The sequence below is a fragment of the Homo sapiens genome, chromosome 12 (genome assembly GCF_000001405.40).
Source record: "Homo sapiens chromosome 12, GRCh38.p14 Primary Assembly".
NCBI lineage: Eukaryota > Metazoa > Chordata > Mammalia > Primates > Hominidae > Homo > Homo sapiens.
The window spans coordinates 119,310,536-119,338,444 of record NC_000012.12 but is presented as its reverse complement, the minus strand read 5'-3'; the positions used below and the strand labels follow the sequence as shown (position 1 = coordinate 119,338,444).

General features: G+C 42.3%; 1 protein-coding gene across 5 annotated transcripts in view; it reads right to left on the bottom strand.

Moving 5' to 3' along the window:
- Positions 1-3,716, bottom strand: part of CCDC60 (coiled-coil domain containing 60) — a 206,312-nt gene extending 202,596 nt beyond the window's left edge. For all 5 annotated transcript variants that reach the window (NM_178499.5, XM_017018912.3, XM_017018913.3 and 2 more), the window contains exon 1: positions 3,179-3,716. In NM_178499.5, coding sequence (NP_848594.2) covers positions 3,179-3,268 — 90 coding nt within the window. In that variant the 5' untranslated portion in view covers positions 3,269-3,716. The remainder of the gene's footprint in view (positions 1-3,178) is intronic.
- Between the last annotated feature and the right edge of the window lie 24,193 nt (positions 3,717-27,909).

Below are 27,909 nucleotides of genomic sequence, written 5' to 3'. Positions count from 1 at the left end.
ACAGTTCATAGCTTGAAGGATTGTAGAAGGTTCTGAAAATATCACACTTAAGAGTTTTTTGAGTTCAATACGTGGCACATGATGCATGCATACTCAATACATGCCAACTATCGTCATGATCATGATCATGACTGCAGTTATTATTCATTTGATTTACCCCAGACATCAATCCTGATCTCTACATATTTCCTTGTGGCTTGTCACTTTCTATTGACGCTAGATTAGGTTAATTAATGCTTTACTATAACTCTAAAACCTTGAAATTCCTAAGGGCATGATCTTTTGAATGTGAGCTAGGAACCCCTGGGGTCTTCATTATTTCCTAGAAAGTAGAGAGGGGTGCGAAGGATTTCAATGAGGCTTTCGGGCCGGAAGTCTTGGTCTATCCAACAGTTTCCTGGAAGCCTTCTTCCCATTGCTTGACATCCCTGAGTCCCACTACCCTCCTCCCAAGAAAGAGATGATCATTTCATCTTCTACATCTTCCTCCACTCTCTACATCTCTCTATGGTAGGATGAAAAACTCTATTACATTTATTTGAGTACATGGCTTGTTTCTTCCCAAAATCCAACATGGAGACACACACACACACACACACACACACACACACACACACACAAATACACACACACACATGCGTGAATCTAAATTAGCTGTCCCTTTTCTTTGCTCCCACAACACCCTCTGATACTTCCTCAACACATCATTAATCAACCTGCATTATAACGTTTCTTATCTCTTTTACTCCCCATCCCAAGCATACACACTATAGATTGTAAGATTCTTGAAGGCGAGTCTCATTTTTAACTAGAGCAAGTGTTTAGCACCTAACAGCAGTGCAATAAATGTTTACTAAATAAATGAAATAACAATAGAACTAAAACCTAAAGTGTGCTTACTATATGTCAGGAACTGTGCTCGTAGCTTTTGGCGTACGTTAACTCATTTAATGCTCACAGCAATCCCATGAGGAAGCTCTATGACATTCCCGTTTTGCAGATGGCAGCACTGAAGCGGAGCAGCTCTGCAGCTTGCCCAAGACCACAGGGCTGCGAAGAGGCAGATCCAAACCCAGGGTGATTCTGTCTGCTGCTCCCGCTCTGATGTTCACCCTCGCTATTGAAGTGTTCATTTCCCTCTTCATTCTTTCCCTCATTCATTCTCCCACCGCTATGCTGGGAAGTTCAGTCCCAGAGCGGGCTGCTCTGGATTGAACATCCTTCTGTGTGGTATTTTGAGATGAAAGGAGATGGAAAAAGGCTGTATCTTGCAGAGTGGTCTTGCTAAGAGGGCTGAGTAATGAGGAGTGCACAGAGATGGGTTAAGCCTTAGAGAAGAGCAGCTTGGGAACATTTTGGACCACATGGAGAGCCCTTGTGAGTTTTAAGCTCTCCTTCACAGACTGACCACCTGCCAGGCCCTCCTTCCTGGGGCATGACTGTGAGCCACAACTGTGCCTTGTGGATGCACTAGAGTGGACCAGCATTGCTGACCTTGGCCAGTCCATGCAAAGTGGGGTTTGAGGATACAATAACAAATGCACACTTACAGTTGTGCTCGTCCAGTTATGATCATTTAAAAAACAGGAACCATTAACTCCAGTCATTCAGTACGTATCGATTTTTCTTTGTTTTTCAAATCAACAACACTGTTTCATGTCCCATAAACACATTATCCAGCGTTAACATCACAGTGGACAATTTTCATAGCTTATTCGATTTAGTCCTCACACTGCTTCTGCCTAGTTGATGTTCCTGTTCTAAATTCATAGACACAAGGAAATAAAGCCTCAGAGAGGCTAAGCAATTCACCTGTCTAAAGTCACACAGCTGGTGCGTGGCAAACCTAGCCTTTGAACACCAAAAGTTGACCCTCTGCAGCCTCTCCATAGAGAGAGGGGATATGCCTGTTTCTGGAGACCAGCAGATCTCTGAGAGTAAGTCCTGCAGACGGCAAACCTACAATTCATCTTAATTTTTTTCTGATGTTCTACAGTGTCATTGCTGATTTATTCCATCATTTTGGAATTACTGGCTAATAGGATGGCCCAGCTCACTGATCTGGTTCGCGTTTTCACTCTTTAAGAGAAACCAGCCATTGATAGCAACGGGAATGTGTCTCGACAATTTAATCACACCATGACTCTCCTCTCTCTCCCTCTCCCTTGTTGGTTTCGAGGCTAATTCCTTTTTTTGTATTATTATACTTTAAGTTTTAGGGTACATGTGCACATTGTGCAGGTTAGTTACATATGTATACATGTGCCATGCTGGTGTGCTGCACCCACTAACTCGTCATCTAGCATCAGGTATATCTCCCAAAGCTATCCCTCCCCCCTCCCCCCACCCCACAACAGTCCCCAGAGTGTGATGTTCCCCTTCCTGTGTCCATGTGATCTCATTGTTCAATTCCCACCTATGAGTGAGAATATGCGGTGTTTGGTTTTTTGTTCTTGCGATAGTTTACTGAGAATGATGATTTCCAATTTCATCCATGTCCCTACAAAGGACATGAAAACCATAAAAACCCTAGAAGAAAACCTAGGCAATACCATTCAGGACATAGGCATGGGCAAGGACTTCACGTCTAAAACACCAAAAGCAATGGCAACAAAAGACAAAATTGACAAAAGGGATCTAATTAAACTAAAGAGCTTCTGTACAGCAAAAGAAAGTACCATCAGAGTGAACAGGCAACCTACAAAATGGGAGAAAATTTTCGCAACATACTTATCTGACAAAAAGCTAATATCCAGAATCTACAATGAACTTAAACAAATTTACAAGAAAAAAACAAACAACCCCATCAAAAAGTGGGCAAAGGACATGAACAGACACTTCTCAAAAGAAGACATTTATGCAGCCAAAAAACACATGAAAAAATGCTCATCATCACTGGCCATCAGAGAAATGCAAATCAAAACCACAATGAGATACCATCTCACACCAGTTAGAATGGCAATCATTAAAAAGTCAGGAAACAACAGGTGCTGGAGAGGATGTGGAGAAATAGGAACACTTTTACACTGTTGGTGGGACTGTAAACTAGTTCAACCATTGTGGAAGTCAGTGTGGCGATTCCTCAGGGATCTAGAACTAGAAATACCATTTGACCCAGCTAATTCCTATTTCACTTGTTCTCGAAAACATGATTGGTTTCAGCAGAGGGGAGACTTACCTGCCTTAGGTTCTCCGAGGCATAAAAGGGCCGGACAGCCCCCGAGTTGGGGGAACTCTGAAGCTTCTTGGTGGCTGGAACCTTGGTCATCTTAAAAATCCTTCAGGTTTTAGCCTGTGCCCCCAAGACAAGGATTTTTCCAGAATCTTCTACTTCAGTAGTTACTGGTATGAGAAGTTTCGGCAACTTCTCCCTGATCCCCAAGTCCCAATTACACGAACTCCAAAGCGGTTTCCTTCTGAAGAGTAATGAGAAAGCACCTGGGTCTCCCACAGACGGGATAAGGAAGTCCGGGTAGGGCAGAATCAGGCAAGCCTGGACTTATTTACTTTTTGAAAGGTTATAAACTTCTGTAAGCTTCCTCCTCTTCGGAAGGGATATCTTTCTCTTCTATAAGCAAAATAAAATATGAACTAAAAAATAAATAAAATTCCAGTGACAAAGTGTGAGAGGGGTCCCATGGAGGGGCTCCCAGATCGCCATCCTCCGAGAGCGGCCGAGAACTAAGGCGGCCCCAACGAGGGGTTTATCGCACTGCGGGGAAAGTAGGCAACTGCTAACCCTTGGGCCGGGTGGGGGTGGGGGGAACCCAGTTGCTTGGCAACGGGACGCCGAGGAGGGCTTCCTCATTGGCTGGAATTCGTGGGGGCGGGGTCATGGGGGTCGTGAACTCTCCCAGGTTGCTGGGACGCCGGCTCAGAGCAGCCGGCTGCCACCGGAGCTGCATTCTCTAAACAAATTGGTTTCTGTTTTTAGGCCTGAGGACCATACCCTTTCTCTCTGCCTGACTACAAGCGAATCCTTCTTTTCAAACTCTGCTCTGTACTGCTGCTAACCCACTAGTAATTTTTTGTGCCTTGGGGTGGGTGGCCTGTAGTCCTGCAATTCTTAACCTGAGATGCCTATTTCTCCCGTTTTTCCACCTGACAAACTCCTGCTCATCCTTCAAAGCCCTTCATTTCATAAAATGAAATATTGTTATTCCATTTATTTAGCAAAGATTTATTGACTCTGCTAAAATAAAATATAATAAAGTAAAAATGAAATTAAAAAAAATGAGACCTTCAGGACTTCACGATCTATAGTGTGTATGTTTGGGATGGGGAGCAAAAGATAAGAAACATTGTTATAAGGCAGGATGATTTATGATGTGCTGGGAAAGTATCATAGGGTATTGTGGGAGCAAAGAAAAGGGACAGCTGTATATAGATATAGATATATGCACACACATACATATACACATATATGAATATACATATGTAGACATGTATATATGTGTGTATATACGTATTTGTGTGTGTGGGCATGTATGCATATGACATTTATTGAGTGCTTAGGATGTGCTAGACACTGTTCTAAGTGTCACATACTGACTCAATCCATACAGCACCTCTTTAAAGAAGGTGTTTTATTACCCCATTGTACAGCCTAAGCAACTGAAGCACAGAGACATTAAATGACAAGTTTAAAGTCACGCATGTGCTGCAGCTGAAATTCAAAGCCAGAACTGTTTGAGTCTAAAGAGCAAGCTTTTAACCACTTAGATGCCTAACTTTGCTGAGTTTGGCTTCTATGTCTTTAAAATGGGGATACTATCTTTGCCACAGGTTGTTAAGAATTGAAGTGGATGATGCATATGAAGGCTGAGCCCATGGGGAGTCCTAGCTAAGTGGTACTATTATTATTCCCTGACATCACTTCCCGAGGAAGAATCAGGCATTCTCACTGTGCTGGGTTCATTTCACAGCAGATGTTAGTACTAACTGATATTTATTGATCACTTGCTCTGTGCTAGGTACTGTACTAAGCACTTCGCATACATTAATTCATTTAATCCTTCCAATAACCCTACGGGGTAGGTTCCCAGCCTGCAGCAGATTTATTTCGTATGTTTGGATTTGAATGCCTTATCCTTGGCATTGTTTCACACTGGATCGATCTGATTCCTGTTTTATCCAACAACCTTGAGCTGCTGGGGATTATGATATCATTATGGCTGCATCTTCTCTCTTTCTTTCTTTCTTTTTCTTTTTCTTTTTTTTTGAGGCAGAGTCTTGCTGTGTTGCCCAGGCTGGAGTGCAGTGGCGTGATCTCGGCTCACTGCAACCTCCGCCTCCCGGGTTCAAGCGATTCTCCTGCATCAGCCTTCTGAGTAGCTGGGATTACAGGGGCATGCCACCAGGCAGGCCAGGCTAATTTTTGTATTTTTAGTAGAGACGGGGTTTCACCATGTTGGCCAGGCTGGTCTCAAACTCCTGAACTCAAGTTATCTGCTGGGATTACAGGTGTGAGCCATGGCGCCCAGCTCATCTTCTCTTTAGAAGGCATCTACTGCAAGATGACACTCTACAGAATGCAAAATACCTAGCCAAGTAACTCTAGATGCTGGTGCCTGAAAGTCATTATTTTCTCACCATTGCCTAAAGACTGACCCTGACCTTCCCTTTCACAGGAAGTTTTGGTTCTCCGGCTTCTTTTGTGGGCAGCATTAAGCAATCGGCAGACACTTTCAGAATGAAGCAGATAAAGGGAATCATGTTTGGGAGATAGGGCTGGGGATGAGGGGATGAGGGGATGAGAAAACAAGGCAGGATGGGAAATGTTCAGCCCTGAGCAGAACAGACAAAAGCTGTCTTCATATGATTTTGTAGAACAGGCTTGGCAAAGAGGAACTCAACTAGTTCTGTATTAGCTCAAAGAATAGGAGGAGGTTTGGGCTCAATAGGAAGAAATGTGTACACAGCAGAACATAATTTTAAAAGGTGTGACCTCTGGAATCCAACTGAATTAGCCACTGAGCAGCTTCAATGATAATTCTCATAGGACTGTGATGAAAACCAAATGGGATAACTCATGCAAAGCACAATGCCTAGCACGGAGGAAGTGCTCAATAAATATTAGCCCTTATTTCCTTTGTTGTTTTTATAATACTCACCTGTCAGAGCCATGTAAGAACTGGAAATAGGAAGGGCTCTAGAACTGAAAAGACATGCGTTCAATTCCTGGCTCTGCCATTTGTTACCAATAAGACCTGGGTCAAGTTCACTTCTCCAAGCCTCAATTTTTCACGTGTATAAAACTCATGTGTAGTGAATGGTTATGCCAATTTTATACCTGCTACCAGGATGATGAAGCAAAATAACGAATTTCCCTTCTCTGTCTAGGAAGGGGTATATTCTTTAGAGAGGGAACAAACTACCCAGCACTAGAGGTGTTCAACTAAATGCCATATGGCTTCTTGGATTTTTGATCACTTGGGGGTGTCAGACTACATGATATTTAAGGCTCTTTCCAAACCGATATTGAGAGACTATATGGAGTACTAGTTGAGCTGGTGTCTAAATCCCAACTCAGCCATTTACCAGCTGTGTGACTTTAACTAAGTAACTTATCTGCTCAAAGCTTTGGTTTTCTCATTACAGAGTGAAGATAATAGTACATTCGTGAAAATGGTATCATGTACATAAAATATTTAGTACAGTTGGCACATAATACATGCTCAATAAATGCTAGCTGTTGTTTTTTTTAATCGTATGAACAGAAGTATTTTCTAGAACGATTTAGTGCTTTGGGGGGCCAACTAGAGTTAGTAAGAAAAGCTCTTTGGTCTTATGGCATCTCCCAATCTAGCTCTAGCTGGGTGGAGAAGAATCTCTCTCTCTCTCTCTCTCACACACACACACACACACACACACACACACACACACACACACCGAAACAGTATATAAGGTGTTAATTGGGATCCTCCAAGAAGATGCCAGAATAAGATTACATGTGCTAGGGATTTATAGAGGAAAATGGTTGTGAAGGATAAAGGGGAAGGAAGAAGGAGTATATAAGGAGAGTCTGTTGAAAAGGAGAAGGAAGAAAGGATTGGGTAGGAAAAGCCATGCACTGAGACACAGCTCTGAGAAAGTCTCAGCCAGGCTGACAGGGAGACCCTGAGCCAAAGTTGCCCAATGGATGAATCTCCCATTGCACAGGAAAGTCCTGGTTCTAGGACCCCTATTCTGCTCAGTGATTATCTAGGAACAGCTGGGTGTAGGATGTACACAGTAGATTCAAAATGCAGCATCTGTCAGTCAACTATGCTCCCTGCAGTTTTCTCTTGGTGAGGCATCATCTCAGCTGCAGACCTCCATGGCCCTACCAGGTCATCTCTTAAGCTGCACAGATTCACTTTAGAATGCATGCCCAAGGAACAGTCCCTCCCTCCTGGCTCCTGTGGATATCCTTTCCTGACAGAAAACTTAGAAAAGGGAAATTAGTGGGACCAACTATAGCCTCCATCATTGCAACTGGCATTGGGGGCTGAAATTGGTGTTTGTTCTTTTCCTTCTTCACTATACATTCTAAATTCCCCCTCACGCTTAGCTCTTCCCTCTCTAGGTCTAGGCTTAGGTAGTGGAGTGACCAAAATCTTTATTCCTGAGAATTCTGAGCCTTTAAGTAAATCTGCTCTCCTCACTGTCTCAGGGTTGCTGCATGTATCCATTCCTAGTTAAAACTGATCAAGAGAGTACTTATTAGGAGGCACCCAAGTGGATCACTCAGTTTCCATATATGTTCCTTCCTGCCCCTATCTGTATAATCACTGATCAGGGTCAATTGTCCTTGCTAAAATTGTGACTCCTCTTCTCACCTGCTGGTTCCTGGGCACAAAGTGTCTGGTGGCAGCTATAGCTAAGAGTTAATACAATCCGTGCTGTGTCCCCTGGCAAGAGTGTACCCACTTTGGGAACCTGGACCTCTCACCCTACATAGCCCAGAGTTGCAGAAATGGAAAGAACGCACTCCCTCAGTGCCTCATTGGGCATGAGGGCAGTGGGAACCACTCCTGGTTCCACTTATTGGCTCCTGAATCTCTGGGGTTCCCAGATCTTCGTTCCCATTGGGAACACAAAGTTGTATAGAAGTCTGATTTGATGCATGTGCTTCAAACTATAGGATAGCCCATTCTTGCTTCAATAGACTGATCTAGAACTCTGTGACACCAGCTGCTTCTGGGTGGGGTGATATGTGATACTGCTGGATCCCATGACCACTGTGAAGGTGGTTTCTAGTTCCTAGAGTTTCCATGGGCATAGAGGGGCAGTGATGGTGGCAGACATTGTCAGAACCCGGCCCATTGTCCCTTGACATTAATAGTTCCTAAGGACAGCTCCTTGCTGCCATTTTGCCTGAGACATTCCTCTCTGGCTACAGCAGAAGTTCCCAACCGTTTGTGGCTCTTGGTACCCTTTACTTCCCAGTAATTTTTTTCATGCCACCTCCAAGCTAAAAGAAACATGTTGAGAATCCCATTTATGAAGTCCTTAGGCCTGCACAACTTAGTATTTACATCCTAATCACGTGAAAACTAACACATATAAATGGAAAGAAAATAGTATTTGTATTTGATTCTTCCACTTTTAGTATATGTGCTGCTGAAGTGAGCACAGTATTTGCTTCTTAAATAGCTGCCATTGCTTACCAGTGGGTCATGTGCCTCTGGTGGCCACAGTGCAGCTTCTCGAACCTTGGAATCAGTTTGGATACCATCACCTTCATTTTCTGTAGGACGTTAATTTTTGTGCAGTTCTCACTTTTTATCACAGCAACTGCCCCAAATCCAGCTTTTTCAAAGATATTTCATGAAAGGAATGTCGTGGAATCTACTGTTGAAACTGAGTGCACTAGTCAGCTCAGGCTGCAGTAACAAAGCACTGCAGACTGGGAGGCTTAAACAATGGACATTTATTTTCTCACAGTTTTGTGGCAGAAGTTTGGGATCAAGGTATCAGCAGGCTTGGTTCCTTCTCAGGCCTCTCTCCTTGGCTTGCAGACGGCAGCCCTCTCCCTGCGTCTTCACATGGTCTTTCCTCCGCACCCTTCTGTGTCCAGATCTCCCCTTCTTCTAAGGACCCCAGTCCTGATCAAGAGAGTACTTACTAGGAAGCACCCAAGTGGATCACTCAGGTTCCATATGTGTTCCTTCCTGCTCCTATCTGTGTAACTGCTGATCAGGGTCAATTGTCCTTGCCAAAATTGTGACTCCTCTTCTCACCTGCTGGTTCCTGGACACAAGGAGTTCAAAGTGTCTGGTGGCAGCTGTAGCTAAGAGTTAATACAATCCATGCTGTGTGCCCTGGCAAGAGTGTACCCACTTTGGGAACCTGGACCTCTCACCCTGCAGAGCCCAGATGAGGGCCCACCTCATGACCTCGTTTTAATGTCAAGACATCTGTAAAGACCCTGTCTCCAAATAAGGCCACCTTCTGAGGTATTAGGGGTTAGAACTTCAACACGTAAATCTTAGAGGGGCACAGTGTAGCCTTCAAAATTGAACTATGTGTCACTAGTAGTTCATATGGCATTCAATAGATGTTGCCGTGTTTCCCTTAAAAATTAAAAATACATGTAGCCTCTTCTGTGAATTTGCTGTGGCACTCTGGGGCACTTTGGTACACCGTTTGGGAACCACAGGGCTATAGGAATGCATTCTGCCTTTTTTTTTTTTTTTTTTTTTAGATGGAGTCTTGCTGTGTCAACCAAGCTGGAGTGCAGTGGCACCATCTTGGCTCACTGCAACCTCCACCTCCCAGGTTCAAGTGATTCTCCTGCCTCAGCCTCCCAAGTAGCTGGGATTTCAGGCACATGCCACCATGCCCGGCTAATTTTTTGTATTTTTAGTAGAGAAGGGGTTTCACCGTGTTAGCCAGGATGGTCTCGATCTCCTGACCTTGTGATCCACCTGCCTTGGCCTCCCAAAGTGCTGGGATTACAGGCATGAGCCACAGCACCCGGTCCATTCTGCCTTTAAGCAGAGCAGGCTAGAAGTGCAAGAAGTTAACACCCATGGGGATAGCCATAAAGCAACGACTAATGGGAATTAGTGGATAAATACTCTGCCTCCTCAACCCTTGGGTAGGACAAGTCTGGAGTATGGTCTACACTGCCCCCAGTGGTACCCTGCAGGACTGACTTATAGGAAACACCACTGCCTACGGTCACTGCCTGCTCCACCCAAACAACCCACACTGGCTTTTTTCCTTTTCCTGTCTCATTTTCCCACTCCCCTTCTGGTACTTCCTGGATAGCCTCCCAATAAACTACTTATATCCAAGCTATTTCCCTGGGTCTGCTCCTGGGGAACCAACTTAGGTTAGTGTTGACTGAAATAATCTGGGGAGGTCAGACTCGAATCAGGCTCTGACACTGAGTCATAGCGCGTTGTCAGGACACCTGAATTTTTTCCTCTCCCTCATCTCATTACATGGGGTTCCTATCTCCTTTGATCACCTCGTCCCATAATCTCCTTCTTACCATTGCTCTCAAGTTTATCATAAAGAGTTTCTTGATATTCTCCACCTCCCTTAAACACGGAGAGGCCAACATGTTTTCAGATACGTAAATACATCCCCCAACGGTGAAATATTTGACAACCGAGATATGAAGTGATTGTTTAATGCTTAATTCCTGACTGATTTATGCAAAATATTAACTGAAGGACGTGAAGCGACAGGCATTCTCTCCTCCCGATTTGCCAAAAAGAAAAGTATCTGAAGGGATTAAAAATAGACATATCAAGCAGAAGAAAAATTTTGGAATGTGTCAGACGCCAGCTGGGGCAGCTGAAGAGAAAGCTTGAAATCTGGTAAACACTTGAATTTCAGTCAGTAATACATATGTTTGGCATTAAAAACCTATTGAAAAAGTCATCATTTTTGGAATATCTTTAATATGCTTTTTTTGTGTGTTGCATCTAGCACCCAGAAAACTCCTTCTGGGTATTTTTACTGAAATGTCAGCACTGGATTTACAAATTATGGGGCCCAGGGCAAGAGTACAACTTGGGGCTCCCTTGACACCTGGTAGCTGGCAATCTATTGAAGAATTGTTTCCAGGTTGAAATACCACTGGATAATGTGTATTTGTACCACCTTGTGGATTCCTGTCCTTTGTTAGATTAAAGAATTACCGCATGCTACAGGGCCCTTGTGGGGTCTCTGGCCCCACATCCCATTCCTACTCTATCCTCCAAACCACAGCCCCAGGCGAGAGGTGAATTTGGATCTTTGAGACTGAAGAGAAGAAAATGTAATGTTAACCTGCTTCTACTCTCCTTTCTTTTTAACTTTGGTATGTCCGGTGTATTAGTCAGTTTTCACACTGCTATAAATAAATACCTGAGACTGGGTAACTTATATTAAAAATAAGAAGAAGTTTGTTTAATTGCCTCACAGTTCTGCAGGCTGTACGGGAAGCTTGGCAGCATTTGCTTCTGGGGAGGCCTCAGGAAGCTTTTACTCATGGTGGAAGGCAAAGTGGGAGTGGGTGTCTTACATGGTGGGAGCAGGACCAAGGTGGGGGGTGATGCCACACAACTTTAAACAACCAGGTCTCATGAGAACTCACTATTGCGATGCGATGACAACACCAAGAAGGGATGGTGTTAAACCATGAAAAACCTCCCCCATGATCCAATCACCTCCCACCAGGCCCTACCTCCAACAGTGGGGATTCTAATTCGACATGAGATGTGGGTGGGGACACAGATCCAAACCATATCACCTGGCCTAGTAGCAGAGGAAGAAGTGTAGCCCCAGGACTATTCTTAGTGAATATGGAGTCCTACTGGAGTCCTAGGATGGGATCCAAGCTACCTCCATGAGTGATGTTTTCCATTTGTATATGTTTCATGCCACAGTGTCCTGGGAGGTAGGCCAGATTGGATTTATGAAACTATTAATCCCATTTCACAAATGTAGACATTGAAGCAAGCTCTGGCATGTAGTAATTTGTTAGTGGTGGAGGTTGTCCAAGAACCTGTTTTTTCAATTCCAAACTTAGTGATTTATTTCAGCACTCTGTCACACTGTCTTAATGTTCTTTTACTTAAAGGTAAGTGTGTATTTGTGTGTGTGTGTGTGTCTTGTTCAGCAGAACAACCTGAGGTTACTTCTGCAAGTAACCAAGAAACAAAGACAATTGGGATTTCCAAGCTGTCTGGAAGATGGTCTTCTACAGCTTTCTGGAGGAAGTCTTGACTTCAACATCCAAATAAGACACCTCAAGCCCCAGTCCCAGGTAGGAAGGCACCTCCCTCCAAGTATTCCCATGAATTTCCAAGTAGCTCACAATTTCTTGTTCAGTATACCCTCCAGCCAGTTTCCTAACTGCATAGGTAGAATGATATCACCCTGAAAAAGACATGTTTGAGTCTTCAGCCCCAGGATCTGTGCATGTGACCTTATTTGGAAATAGGATTTTGGCAGATGATCCAGTTAAGATGACGTTATCCTGGATTAAGATGGCCCCCAGCCCAATGACTTATGTCTTTATAAGGAAAGGGAAATTTAGATATAGAGACAGAAGACACACAAGGAGAATGACAAGGAGAATGCCAAGTGATGATGGAGGCAGAGATTGGAGTGATACATCTACAAGCCAACAAACAAACAAATAAAACAACACTAACAAAAAACAGTAACAGGCTGGGCACAGTGGCTCACACCTGTAATTCCAGAACTTTGGGAGGCCAAGGTGAGCAGATCACTTGAGGTCAGGAGTTTGAGACCAGCTTGACCAACATGGTGAAACCCCATCTCTACTAAAAATACAAAAATTAGCTGGGCGTGGTGGTGTGTGCCTGTAGTCCCAGCTACTCAGTAGAGTGAGGTGTGAGTAATCGTCTGAAACTGGGAGGCAGAGATTGCAGTGAGCTGAGAGTGCGCCACTGCACTCCAACCTGGGTGACAGAGCTAGATTCTGTCTCAAAAAATAAAAATAAATAATAAACAAACGAACAAAAAACAGTAACAAAACCCCACCAAAGATTGCCAAGAAATACCAAAAGCAAGGAAGAGGCAAAGGAATCCTTCCCTAGAGCCTTCAGAGAGAGAGAGAGTATGGCCCTGCTGATGTCTTGATTTTGGATTTCTAGTTTCAGAACCGAGACAAGAAATACTGTTGTTTTAATCCACATCGTTTGTGCCAATTTGTTGCAACAGCTCCAAGAAACTAATACACCACCCCTCTTGGCTGCAGCTTCATTTCCCTGTCCACCCCAATTTATTTATGCCCTCAAAATGCTATTTTCCAAAGGCGGTGTACAGTAGGACTTTAGTGGAGGTTTGGGATAACAGAGGAAAACTGCAGCACAGCTCTGCAGAGTCAGTAACTTAAAATTAGATATTAGGCATCACTGGATTTTCAATGACATAAAAATAAAGTTCCTGGGGGAGTCTAACACACAGTTAGGGGTAAGCACCTTTGTCAAACATGCTGTTTGTAACCTGCTTTTTCACATAATAAGATAAAAACACCTTCCATTTCTATAGATGTATTTTACATTTGGCTCTTAAATGGATGCTTGCTAGAATGGAGTTCCAGTTTATGACTGTCCGACAGCTTGTTCAACTGGCTTCTTATTACTGGACAGGAAATGGTGTGTTTTTATCCTGACTCTACAACTGGGCAGTATCTTGAAGGTATGGTGATATTTTGTTGGTTTTGGAGCCTTGAGCTAGACTTTAGCTCAATGTCTACACCTGTGGACATTGTGGGTGCCTAGTGCCAGCACATAGGCAAGACCTCATGTAGTTGTCATTGACCACTTTTGCTCTTCAGAATCTACACTTCCACTGGGGAACTGATCCCATTCTACTCCTATCCTGGGATTCTTGTGAGGTTCTACCTAAGCCCATAAACTAGAAAACCCTATTTCCTCCTGACTACAGTGACTGGATCAGGAGTAAGAATGTCACCCAAATTGGGTCTATCAGAATTGTCTTCCAGAGTATTTTTTTGTCAGACATTCGAGGAAAGGGGACTTCCTTTCAGGTCATGGAACTAGAAAGATATACTCTGCCTGAGGGCATTCTGTGTGTGTGCCACAAAGAGAAGCCTTTCTGTTAGAGAGAAAGCAGATTGAAGAGAGAGACTGAATTCTAATGAAATGTGTTTGTGTGCCTGAATCCAGGTGGCCTTGAGGCTAGTGCTATCCTCAAATTCTATTTATGTGAGTCCATGAACGCCATTTTGTTATTGTTGCAGCTGTGGTTGGTTTTACTGTCCTCCTTCAATTGATTTGAGTTGAAATTTTTGTCATCTGCATTGGAAAGAGTTGACTAGCTTAACTCTTTTCTACCCAGTTTCCTGCCCCAGACTCGGAAAATCCTATTTGGGATTTTAAAATAGACTCTCACATAAGAGGTAGGCCACTTTGACTGTAGAATCAAGAGAGCTAGACTTGAGGGTGTGCGTGCATTAGGCTGAAAGGCACTATGGGTGTGGGGAGGAAAAGCCTGGGATTTAAGCCAAACAGAATTGAGTTCAAATTCTGCTTTTTCATCACATACGTTGTCCCTGTTACCTTGGGTAAATTTCTTAACTTATACAAGCTTCAATCTCTCCATTATGAAGACTAAAAATTAAAATTTCCACCAAACTTGTAGGGCCACTGGGGGGTTAAATGACATAATTATCTATCTATCTGTCTGTATACCTGTCTCTATCATCTACATATATTAGATATAAAACATATATTAAAACATAGATTACGTATAAAATATGTTAATACATGTATTAGGTATAAAACATAACATAAAATAGGTACAAATAAATTGTAGCTATCATTATTAGTTTCCGAGTCCTTTGTCCTCCGGAAGTGCCTCCCTTCCTCCTTCCCTCCCTTCCTTCTTTCCTTCCAGTTGGAATCCACCGATGGGCTCTACTCTAAGAATGAAGGTGAACAGGGAATAGACCAGCCTTTGCAAAGACTAAAACTCAACTTTAATTCAACTCAATCCCTGACTAAATTAAGGTGATCCTCTCTTCCATAATTGACTGTCAGAAATCAAAATTATTCCTTTATGGAAGGTGATAATACTATTCAGATCTTCAAAATAAATATATACATTTTTTCATGCACATTGTCTGGCAGTCAGTAAAAAATTACCAGTATGCTAGGAGATATGCCCAGATAACAGAAAATCAAGAGCAATAAGAAACAATAGAAACAAACCCCCAAAGATCCAGGTATTAGAGTTATCAGACACAGACTTTAAAATAACTGGGACTAACATATTCAAGAAAATAGATATTTCTATGTCATCAAGTTCATTAATCTTTCCCTGTTTAATATTTATCAATCCCATTCAGTGTATTTTTATCTCAGATGCTGTAGTTTTCTCTCTAGAGGTGCAATTTGAGTCTTCTTTTTAACTTGCATGACTCTACTTAACATGTTCAATCTTTCTTCTAGCTACTTAATAGTTTTAATGTACTCGTCTATTAACAGCTGTCATTTCAGAGTCAGTTTTCATTGTTTGACTTTTATATTATTATGGATTATATTTTCCTAATTTTTTTGTATGCCTGGTAATTTTTTATCATATGCCAGACATTGAAACTTTTACCTTGTTAGGTGCTGGATATTTTTGTATGCTTATGAGCTTTATTCTGGGACATAGTTAAGTTTGATCCTTTCAAGTCTTGTTTTTAAGCCCTTTCAGGCAGATTTAATTTAGGACTCATCTTGCCCCGTTATTGAGACAAGCCTTTATGATGCCTCTTAAGTTGTGAGCTTTTCCAGTCTGGAGAGCTGGAACAGACACTCCTCCTGGCCCTACATGAGATCTGGATATTGCTTTCTGTAATCTCTTTGGATGGCTCTTCTGTGGCCGCCGTTAATTTGCTCACACGCATGCGCTGGTCAGTACTTAGCTGGAGACTCAAGAGGAACCTTCTGAGGATTGCCTTTTGCTGTGCAACCCTATCCTCTTTAGTACTTTTTCCTGCGACTTCTAGAGGTCTTGGCCTCCCTGAACTGCCAGCTTCATCTCCTCAGCCCAGAGACTGTTGTTCTCTCTTCCTGCGCTGCAGTCTGGAAACCCTCCAGCCTGTAAACCAGAGAAACTGCAGGGCTCGCTGCACTTGTTTTTTTTCTGTCTCTCAGAGATTACTGTCCTTCACTGGCTGATGTCCAATGCTCTAAAAACTTTTTTTTTTTTTTTTTTTTGAGACAGAGTCTCAACTTATTGCCCAGGCTTAAGTTCAGTGGTGCAATCTTGGCTCACTGCAACCTCTGCCTCCCAGGTCCAAGCGATTCTCCTGCCTCAGCCTCCTGGGTAGCTGGGATTACAGGTGTCTGCCACCACACCCAGCTAATTTTTGTATTTTCAGTAGAGATGGGGTTTCACCATGTTGATCAGACTGGTCTCAAACTCTTGACCTCAGGTGATCCACCTGCCACAGCCTCCCAAAGTGCTGGGATTACAAGCATGAGCCACCAAGCCTGGCTAAAAACTCTTATTTAATATAAATATTGTTTGATTTTTTTAGTATTTTGGGTAGAAGGGTACATTCAATCTCTATTACTCCATCCAGGCCAGAAAGTCTATAATTATATAGTGTACTAACTAAAGTTAAGTACTCAGTAGATAGATGTAACATTATATTAAACCAAGAAGAAAAGAGAATAGATATGACCTTTGGGAAAGGGGGTGATGGTAACTGAGAGGGGGACCCTGGGAGTGTCTGTGCTGCTGATAATGTTCTGTCTCTTGCTTGGGGTGGTGATTCTATGAGCGTGTTCATTTTGTGAACATTAAATGTTGTAGATTCTGATTTGTGTACTTTTCTGTACATATGTATGTGACCCTTTAATAATTAAGTTTATTTTAAAATACATTAAAGCTATAAAAATAAAAAAAATGGCAACATTTGTTATTGAGGGCAAATCTTAAGATTTATACCAGGATCCAGTATCCCATGGGCTTTGGATTCCGGTCTGCTTGAATCAAATGCTCGGTTTAAATCCTGCATCTACATTTACTACATATATAATCTTGAGCCTTTTCATTGCCTTGCTGAACCTCAGTTCCCTCTTCTCATAAATGGATATAATGGTATTACCTATCCCACAGCCTGGATGTGAGGGCCAAATGAGCTATTTTATGTAAAAATACGCCTGGCACTTAGTAGGTTGTGAAAAAGTACTCCTTCCAACTTGAAATATCCATTAATAGAGAACTGGTTAAATAAATTATGTTATAGTCCTACAACAGAATACCACTCAGTTGTTAAAATTATCATGAAGTCATGCTCTGTGTATGGTTGTGAGATGATCTAGATGTCAATCAGGGCACCAGAAGGAGACATGATGTAGTCATAAAGAAATAATTGAAGAGAGTTTAAGTGATGGGTTACTTACAAAGGTGTAGGCAGAATGAACAGATTGGGCAGTATTTCAAGGCTGGCAACAGTGGGAAGCTGTTACCACCCCTAGACCTGAAGGGACAAAGGAAAGGAAGAGTTAGCAGAATGAGAAGCTGTAGAATAAGCTGCCAACAGAAGCAGGAGACTTCTGAAGAGGAAAGCAGCCATCCATGACCACCGGGCAGGGAGGGAGAAGAAATCCACAACCCAGGCTCACTTTTCTCCTGACTTCTTGTCTATTGTGAGTTCCTTCCCTTGCCAATGGGCCTCCAATCATCAAAGCCCAACTAGATGCCACAGGGCAAGGGATTCCAGTGACAAAGTCCATACAGGTCAGCCTCCAGAAACACAGAGCAAGGTGAAGAAAAGTGGGAGCGGATTGGGCAGAAGTTGTGCAAATAGGTATGCAAAAAGTATTCAGCACAATCTGCAAGATATATTAAGTTTTTCTTAAAAGAGGATATAAATAGGCCAGGTGCGGTGGCTCATGCCTGTAATCCCAGCACTTTAGGAGGTCAAGGCTTGTGGATCACCTGAGGTCAGGAGTTTGAGACGAGCCTGGCCAACATGGTGAAATCCTGTCTCCATTAAAAATACAAAAATTAGCCAGGCATGGTGGCGGGCACCTATAATCCCAGCTACTTGGGAGGCTGAGGTAGGAGAATGGCTGGAACTCAGGGGGCATAGGTTGCAGTGACCCGAGATCACACCACTGCACTCCAGCCTGGGCAAAAGAGTGAAACTCTGTCTCAAAAAAAAAAAAAGATATAAATAAAGTATATCATACATTAGCATTAGAGAGAGAGATTTCGAAGGATAGAAGGATACACAAGAAATTGTACCAGTGGTTACCTTAAAGTGGGGAACAGTCGCACTGAGGAAGGATGAGGAATGAGAGGGTATTGTCGGTCAGGGCGCCATCAGGACACAAATGGCAGACTTATATTAAGATGATATGAGGAGGGATCATTTACAAAGGGGCCATTTACACAAGTATGGGTGCAGTGGAACACAGGAGACAATGAAGTAACCCAGGGATAGAATCAGTGAAGCTGTGGCCATTCCTAATCCTCATGGGACAAGGAGAGGGAGTGGTTACCAGCACCATGCAGGAGAAAGATCACGTGAGGGCTCCTGGAGAGAAGCAGTAATCTCTAGTTGAAGGATTCAGCTGGTCTGAGGCAACCCTGCAGGAAGAATGCCAGAGAAATAAATGCCCAGGACACATCCTGATCCTTTCCTCTAATCTCCTGCCAGTGCCTCCTATTGACTCAACCCACATAGAAGCCAGGGGGCATGTGAGCCTGGTTGGTGCCATAGAGGTAGAAAGTAGATTTGGGAGCAAGCGGAAAATGTCTAGCATAGAATGTAACTTACTTTAAACTAGTTGCCTTTCATACTGTTTGATTTTTTTTTCTAACCCACATGTGTGCATTATTTTAAAAATACTCAAAAATAAATGTCAGTTCTATTCATTTTGCACACAGAAGCAAAGAGAGACGTGTTATCCTCAGAGATGAAGAGGTAAGAACAAATGACTTAGTCCAGGCACAAAGCTTGGGCACAACCGTTTCTTCCCCAGAGGGCTGAGTGTTCTAGGTGAGGCTGCTGTATTGATCACCAAGACAAGGTTGGAATGTTCACATTTGTGTGTTTCTGTCCCAAATGCATCTCTTTTCTTTGATACTTTTCTTCCTGCTCTTCTGAAAACGTGACAGGCAAGAATTTAGTTTACGACTATTGGTTTCTTTTTATCTCTCTCCCTTCTTTCTCTCTCCCTCCCATTTTTTCCTTCTAATTTATTTTTATAACTTACGATTTTGAACTCACAATTGGATGAACTATTGGGGTGGCAACACTTTCACTTTAACCTTGTTTCAGGCATCATTGTTGAGATAATCTGGATGGGGTGGTGCATTTTTCAATTTCCTGACAATATCTTCCTTGGAGTGCCTCTCTCTGCCCCCTCTTTTGGTTCGTCCTCTGTCGCTGTCTGGATTCTGCTCAAGGACAGTCTCAGAGGCACACCACTATTTCCAGCCTAGCTGTCGCCAGACTTGGGGCACTTGGGTAGAAACTGTCTTTCTCTGAGCTTCAGTGACACTTCTTTCTCAATAAATTATGCTCTTTCAAACAGATGTTGAGGAATATGACATTTGGAATATATAATAGTACATTGTCACATATACCTTCACCAGATAGTAGCTAAAAGGAGAAAAGGAACTCACTGATGTGGAAAATCAATGCAAAGGATTTGCATATCCTCCTACTCCACCCTCCCCACCCACCTCCACCCAGCTCCACCCAGCCTTTCTTTCCCTTCACTGTGTTTTCTGAATTTTCCTTTTTTTTTCTTTTCTTTCTTTTTTTTTGAGATGAAGTCTCACTCTGCCACCCAGGTGGGAGTGCAATGGTGTGATCTCGGCTCACTGCAACCTCCTCCTCCTCCTGGTTCAAGTGATTCTCCTGCCTCAGTCTCCCCAATAGCTGGGATTACAGGCACCCACCATCATGCCCAGCTAATTTTTTGTATTTTTGTGGAGACGGGGTTTTGCCATGTTGGCCAGGCTGGTCTTGAACTCCTGACTTCAGATGATCCTCCCACCTTCGCCTCGCAAAGTATTGGGATTACAGGTGTGAGCCACTGCACCCAGCCTGTTTTCTGAATTTTCAAGATTTGTTTGCAAACCTCTTTCTCCTACTGAAGAATCTTGGAATTAAAACAAAACAAAACACACTTTTCCCCCTGTTACTTTTACAATAACACTTGTTTATCATGAGAAATGCAGAAAATACAAACAGTTAACAAAAGAGAAAAATACAAAAATAAAAACATCTAGAAATTGGCACTGTTAATATTTGTGTATATTTCTTTCAGATGCTCTTCTTAGATGGTTTTTAGAAGTGTAGTCATGCGTTGCAAATGATGTTTCATCCATAATAAACCATATATTCCACAGTGGTCTCTAAGATTAGAATGAAGCTGAAAAATTCCTATCACCTAGTGATGTCATAGTCATCAAATGTTTCAGCACAAGGCATTGCTCACGTTTGTGGTGATGTCGGTGTAAACAATATCATTGCCATTCATATAAAAGTATAGTACATACAACTATGTACAGTACATAATACTTGATAATGGTAATAAATGACTATGTTACTGGTTTATATGTTTACTATAATATATTTTATTATAAAAAAAAGTTACCTGTAAAACAGCCTCAGGCAGGTCTTTCAGGAGGTATCCAGAAGAAGGCATTGTCATCATAGGAGATGACAGCTCCCTGCATGTCATTGCCCCTGAAGACCTCCTAATGGGATGGGATGTGGAGGTGGGAGACAGTGATGTTGAGGAGCCTGACCCCGTGTAGGCCTAGCCTAATGTGTGTGTTTGTGTCTTAGTTTTTAACGAAAAAGGTTTAAAAAGTAGGCCCGGTGCAGTGGCTCACGCCTGCAATCCCAGCACTTTGGGAGGCCAAGGCGGATGGATCACGAGGTCAGGAGATCAAGACCTTCCTGGCTAACACGGTGAAACCCTGTCTCTACTAAAAATAAAAAAAATTAGCCGGTCGTGGTGGCATACACCTGTAATCTCAGCTACTCGGGAGACTGAGGCAGGAGAATAGCTTGAACTCAGGAGGCAGAAGTTGCAGTGAGCCGAGATCACGCCATTGCACTCCAGCCTGAGCGACAGAGCGAGACTCCATCTCAAAAAAAAAAAAAAAAAAAGGTTTAAAAAGTAAAAATCAAAATTTTTAAGCTTAAAAAAGCTTACAGAATAAGGATATAAAGAAAGTAAATATTTTTGTATAGTGAAATAGGTTGTACAGAGGTGAAAGTTATTTAAGTTAAATGTTATTACAAGAGTGAAAAAATTAATAGCTTATAAAGTTAAAAAGTTATGATAAGCTAAACCTAATTTATTATTGAAGAAAAAATAAGCACACAGTGTTTATAAAGTTTTAGTAGCGTACACGAGTGTCCTAGTCCTTCACATTCACTCACCACTCACTGACTCACCCAGAGCAACTCTAGTCCCGCAAGTTCCATGCATGGTAAGTATCCTATGCAGGTGTACCGTTTTTATGTTTTATACCATATTTTCTATGTGTAGATACACAAATACTTACCATTGTACTCCAATTGCCTATAGTATCCAGTACAATAACATGCTGTATGCAGGTTTGTAGCCCAGAAGTAATGGGCTGGGCTATATATCCTGTATGGAGTGGCCTATGCGTTTGGGCTTATGTCAGTATACTCTATGATGTTCACACAATGATTAAATTATGTAAGGACACATTTCCCAGAATGCGTTCCTGTCATTAAACAATACGTGACTAAATACTTATCTTTCAAAATGAAAACAAGCTTTAAATGTTTTTTGACTGTAGAAGTAAAATATGTCTTTAAAAAAATCAGATTGGCAAGGTGCAGTGGCTCACGACTGTAATCCCAGCACTTTGGGAGGCTGAGGCAAGTGGATCCTGAGCTCACAAGTTTGAGACCATCCTGGGCAACATGGCAAAACCCCGCCATCTTTACAAAAAAAAAAAAAAATTAGATAACCCCAAAAATATTCATACGAAAAGGAAAAATACCATAATTCCCCTCCTCCTGAAGGCATAATAATTTAGCTTTTTGTTATATATAATTCCGTATTTTTTCAGGTATTTCTATATCTAATGTATAGCTTAGCCTTTCTGGTTTTTTTTTTTTTAAACAAAGCTTGCATCACATTAAGTATATTACTCTTTAACTTAATGACATCTTTCCCTCAGTGAGTGCTGATTTACCCCATTGGCTTTCAAAATTGTTGTACACACTGTGAGAAATACATTTGAAACTATGATCCAGTACAGTGTATGTACAGTGCATATATATTTATAACCAAAATAAAAGTTTCACGAACCAATTCTCACTTCCATTATGTATGATATACTCTGTTATTTTCTATTTTATTCTCTTTCATTAAAAAAAAAAATGCTGGTTATGACCCAGTAAATTGATTTCAAGACCCATTAATGGATTGTGACTTGCATTTTGGAAAACATTCTCCTATGTCACAATTTTAATGGCTTTATTATATTTTGAACTCCAGAGTTTTGAAGTTGTATGGAGTCATAGAGGAGGTCTTGCCCAGGCCTCTTCATTTTATATGCAGAGAAGTGAAAATTTAACTTTAGCAATAGCTGGTATGGGAATTCCCTGCAGGGAGGGAATTTTCTTTGTTTAGGGAAATATATTCATAAATGCTTATCGAAAGGGGTGCTGCTGAGGAGGGAGTAATTGAACTAAGCTATATAAGGAATAAACAGGAATTTGGAATAGACAGCATTGAGCCAAGTAGCACAGGGGGAGGGCAGAACCTGAGTTAACAAAACAAAGGGCTTTAGAAACAAGAATATGTAATATTGAATTTATATTATTTGCTGTGCTGTAAATGTATCTGTCCACTGAATTTTCAGTAATTTTCAGTAAGGTTTAACATTTAGTGAGGTCTCTTTCAGGAGCAAGTGATAGAAAAACAACTCAAATTGGATTAAGAACAATTTGATTAAGATTAAGTTAGGAATGTTTGTTTGCTTGTGAAATTGAGTACAACAGGGATGGCTGGATCCAGGGCCCTAATTAATGGCATAGAAACTTAGCGTCCCTCGTCACAGCACTATTCACAATAGCAAAGATAAGGAATCAACCCAGGTGTCCATCAGTGGTGGACTGGATAAAGAAAATGTGGTACATATACACCACAGGATACTATACAGCCATGAAAAAGAACAAAATCATGTCATTTGCAGCAACATGGATGCAGCTGGAGGCCACGATCCAAAGCAAATTAACACAGCAACAGAAAGCCAAATATCTCATGTTCTCACATATAAGTGGGAGCCAAATGTTGGGTACACATGGACATAAAGATGGCAACAATAGACATTGGGGACTATTAGGTGGGGGAAGGAGGAAGAGGGGCAAGGATTGAAAAACTAGCTATTGGGTACTATGCTCAGTACCTGGGGATGGGATCAATGGTACCCCAAACCTCAGTATCATGCAATATACCCACGTGACAAACCTGCACGTGTCCCTGAATATAAAAGTTAAAATTATTTAAAAATAAATAAATAAACAAAATACACACACAAAAAAGAAACTTTATGTCGCTTTATATAGCTTCTTTTTTTTTTTTTTTTGAGACAGTTTTAACTCTGTTGCCCAGGCTGGAGTGCAGTGGTGCGATCTCGGCTCACTGCAACCTCTGCCTCCTGTGTAACTGCGATTACAGGCACATGCCACCACGTCCAGCTAATTTTTGTATTTTTAGTAGAGACAGGGTTTCGCCATGTTGGCCAGGCTGGTCGCCAACGCCCGACCTCAGTTGATCCGCACGGCTTGGCCTCTCAAAGTGCTAGGATTATAGATGTGAGCCACCATGTCCAGCCACTTTATATATCTTCTATTTTGACTTCGCTTTGTATTGATTCCCAATACATAGTTTCTTTCCAGAAAGACCAGAAGTAATTGTCATTTGATTGCCTAGGATCACATGACCATCTTTGAGCCAATCGTTGTGGCCAGGGGGATGGAATGCTCTGATTGGCCAGGAGTGTATCATGTGTTCACCTTTGGAATTAACCATGGGGTCACCTCCACCTCCACTTGGGTTGAAGTGGACAAGGAAGGAGTGGTTACTGGAAAAGTGGGTTCACATAAGGAGACTCAGTGGTGGGCAGCACGCACAGTATGTGACCACAACATGCCCATTCACAGATACCTTATGCGAGTGGTTAGCTTGGTGGAGATTAAGAAAGAAACTGGATTCCTCCTCTGCCTTCCCTAGTGCAGAATCGGACCCCACGGGTGAGACAGAAAGATGATCCCTAAATAGAAGTAAGACCAAAAGAAGAGCTGTAAAGCTGGGAGTTCACAGAATTCTTGCCGAAGGTGCCAGATTTTCTATGATTTATACGAAGTGGATCTATCCATTTTATCTAGATCTTAAGGGAAAGAGGATCCCTGTGGCTATCTGGGCTGCATAAATGGGTGAACCGAGGCCTAAAGAGGTTCTGAGCTCTGCCTACAGTCACACAGCTAATTATTATTAGAGCCAGGACTGAACACCATGTCTTGCCCAGGTCTCAGCAGTTTTCTCTGCCTGGCTCTGGTAGCATTCCCTTTCTTCTGCAGCTTCTATGAAACCTGGAAACATCCGGTCTTCTTTCCCTGAACTTGCCCTTGCAAGCCCTTCGTCCTATCCATGGGGCTGCCTGGGAGTTCTGCATGGAGCCAGAAGGAGGAGCTTACATGGGCATGGAGGGGTCAGACTCCAGCCTCTTTAGGAGACTAGAATCTCAGGTGTCTGGAAGAGAAGCCCAGGATGCAGCAAGAGAAGAAAACCCAAGGGCGAGAACAGCAGAACAAGAAGAAACAATTGATAGAGAATAAACAGCTAAGAGAAGGGATGGTTATTTGTTGCTGAGTTCCTACTTACCAGGCTTTTGCATATTTTATTTAATCTTTACAAAAATTTTAGTTTCAGGGAACACAAAGTAGCTCAGTGAGGGGAAAGAAAGGGAGTTGGAGGTGAAAGTGGGGATTGGCAGAGGCCGTGCTGTGAAGGGCCTTGAATCTAGCTGAATGAGTGAGTGAATGAACAAATGAACGGAGCTAACACCTTGTGAAAGTTGTCAGAATCAACAGGGAGTCACTAGTGTTAAGAAAATCCTGACAAATAGAGCCCAGGAAGGCCATGAAGAGAGAGTTCTCAAGTGTGTATGCCTGATAACAAAAACCATCACAAAAGACTATAAAAACCACAACCTCACACAAAAGCCACTGCAACCTTACACGAAAATATATTTTGAAAGGACATCTGCTCAGCCATTACCTGTCCAACCTTGGACTTTGTAGCCAAAGACAATTATTTCTTTTTTCTCTTTCTTTCCTTTCCTTTCTTTGCTTTTTTGTTTTCTTTTCTTTTCTCTTTTCTTTTTCTTTTCTCTTTCTTTCTTTCTTTCTCTCTCTCCTTCTTTCTTTCTCTCTCTCTCCCCTCCCTCCCTCCCTCCTTCCTTCCTTCCTTCCCTCCTTCCTTCCCTCCTTCCCTCCTCTCTCTCTCTCTCTCTGTTTCCTTTTTTTTGACAAGGTCTCACTCTGTTACCCAGGTTGGAGTGCAGTGACACAATCACAGCTCACTGTAGCTTCAACCTCCTTAGCTTAAGTGATCCTCCCACCTAGGCCTCCCAGAATGCTGGGATTATAGGCATAAACCACCACACTGGCCAAGGATAATTATTTCTAAACAGTTATGTGATCCTCTTCATTTTTTTTCCTTTAAAAAGCTTTTCTCTTCTTTTACCTCCCTGAATATGCACATAGTTTACTATGATATATGTATTCCCTTTACTGTGCTATATTCCCAAGTAAACATCTTTTCTTTTAGAGAGCTTCTTTCTGTTTTTTTAGTTTGACAACTTGTATTCAGTTGCTCAGGCTGCTGCAACAAGATACCACTAACTAGGTAGCTTAAACAACAGAAATGTATTGTCTTACAGTTCTAGAGGCCAGAAATCCAAGATTAAGGTGTTGGCAGGGCTGGTTTCTTTTGAGGGCTGAGAGGGAAGGATTTGTTCCAAGCCTTTCTCCTTGCATCTGGGGATTTGCTGGCGATCTCTGGTGTACCTTGACTTGTAAAAGCATAAACCCAATCTCTGCCTTCTCTTTTTATGGTGTCTTTCCGGTGGGCATGTCTCTTTAAATTTCCCCTTTTTAGAAGGACACCGTCATATTGATTGAGGTCCCCACTCCACTCTAGTGCGACCTCACCTTAACTATTTAATCTGTGACCACCCTATTTCCAAAATAGCTCACGTTCTGAGTTACTGTGGGTTAAGACTTTAACATACGGATTTTGAGAGAGGACACAATTCAACCCATAACAACACCTAAGTGAAATCTTGAGAAAAGCTGAGTTAAGCAAAATTCAACAGATTTCTTTACTTCAGGGCCTCTGTGGCAGTTTTACCATGTGGCTACAAATCTGTTACACTCTTCCGATTGAGAGATGGGGTCTCTGTCCCCTCCCTTGAATCTGGGACTGATAGAATATGGTGGAAATGAGGCTATGTGACTTTTAAGGCAGGGTCCTAAAAGGCCATTCCACTTCTGCCTTGTTTGCTGGAACATTGAGCTGTCATATGAGAGATTTGAATACCAAGAAGCCATCCCCCTGAGAGGCACAGTAAAGTCTCTAGGCTGCAGTCCCAGCTAAGCCCAGCCTTTCAGCTATGCTGCCAAAGTGCCAGACGGGTGAGTTACAAAGCTACCTAGCTGAGCCAGGTGCGGTGGCTCACGCCTGTAATTCCATCACTTTGGGAGGCCAAGGTGGGAGGATCACTTGAGGTCAGCAGTTCGAGACCAGCCTGGCCAACATGGTGAAACCTTGTCTCTACTAAAAACACAAAAATTAGCCGGGCATGGTAGTGGTGCCTGTAATCCCAGCTACTCAGGAGGCTGAGGCAGAAGAATCGCTTGAACCCGGGAGGCGGAGGTTGCAGTGAGCAGAGATGGTATTATGCACTCTAGCCTGGGTGAAAAGAAAAAAACAAAAAGCTACCTAGCCAAGCATGGTGGCTCATGCCTATAATCACAGCACTTTGGGAGACTGAGGTGGGAGGATCGCTTGAGCTCAGGAGTTTGAGACCAACCTGAACAACATGGCGAAACTCTGTCTCTACAAAAAATACAAAAATTAGCCAGGCAACGTGGTGTGTGTCTGTAATCCCAGCTACTCTGGAGGCTGAGGTGGGAGGATCACTGGAGCCCATGGAGGTTGAGGCTGCAGTGAGCTGTGATCACTCCGTTGCACTCCAGCCTGGGCAACAGAGTGAGACCCTGCCTCAAAAAATAAATAAGTAATAAATAAATAAAAATAAAAAATTAACAAGTTATAATACCAGCGACTTGAACCCTTCAGTCCAGCCTTTCTAGACCCAGCCATTTGAGGCTTCCCAGTTGAAATTCCAGATATCCTAGAGCAAAGGCAAGAGGTCCCCACAGTGCCTTCCTTGACTCCTGAGTCATAGAATTAATGAACATCATAAAATGATGTTTTAAGCCACTAAGTTAAGGCTGTCAATTTATCAGGGTTCGCCAGACAAGCAGACCAATAGAATATCATCCATATCTGTATCTATATCTATATAGATTATAGATCTATATATATAGATCTATAGATCTATACATAATTTGATATAGGTCTATAGATATCAATCTATGTATAATTTGATATAGAGCTATATCAAATTTCGTCTATATATAGAATCTCTACAGGATTTACATATTCAATAGAATATATGTATCTCCTATTGTTCTCTTTCTTTGGAGAATCCCTTCCACCCCACCATATAGAAAGATTTATTTTAAGGAACTGGCTCACACAATTCTGGAGGCTGGCAGTAGCTCCAGTCTGAAGGCAGACTGCAGGCAGAATTCCGTCTTCTTCCGGAGAGGTCAGTCTTTTTCCTCTGTAG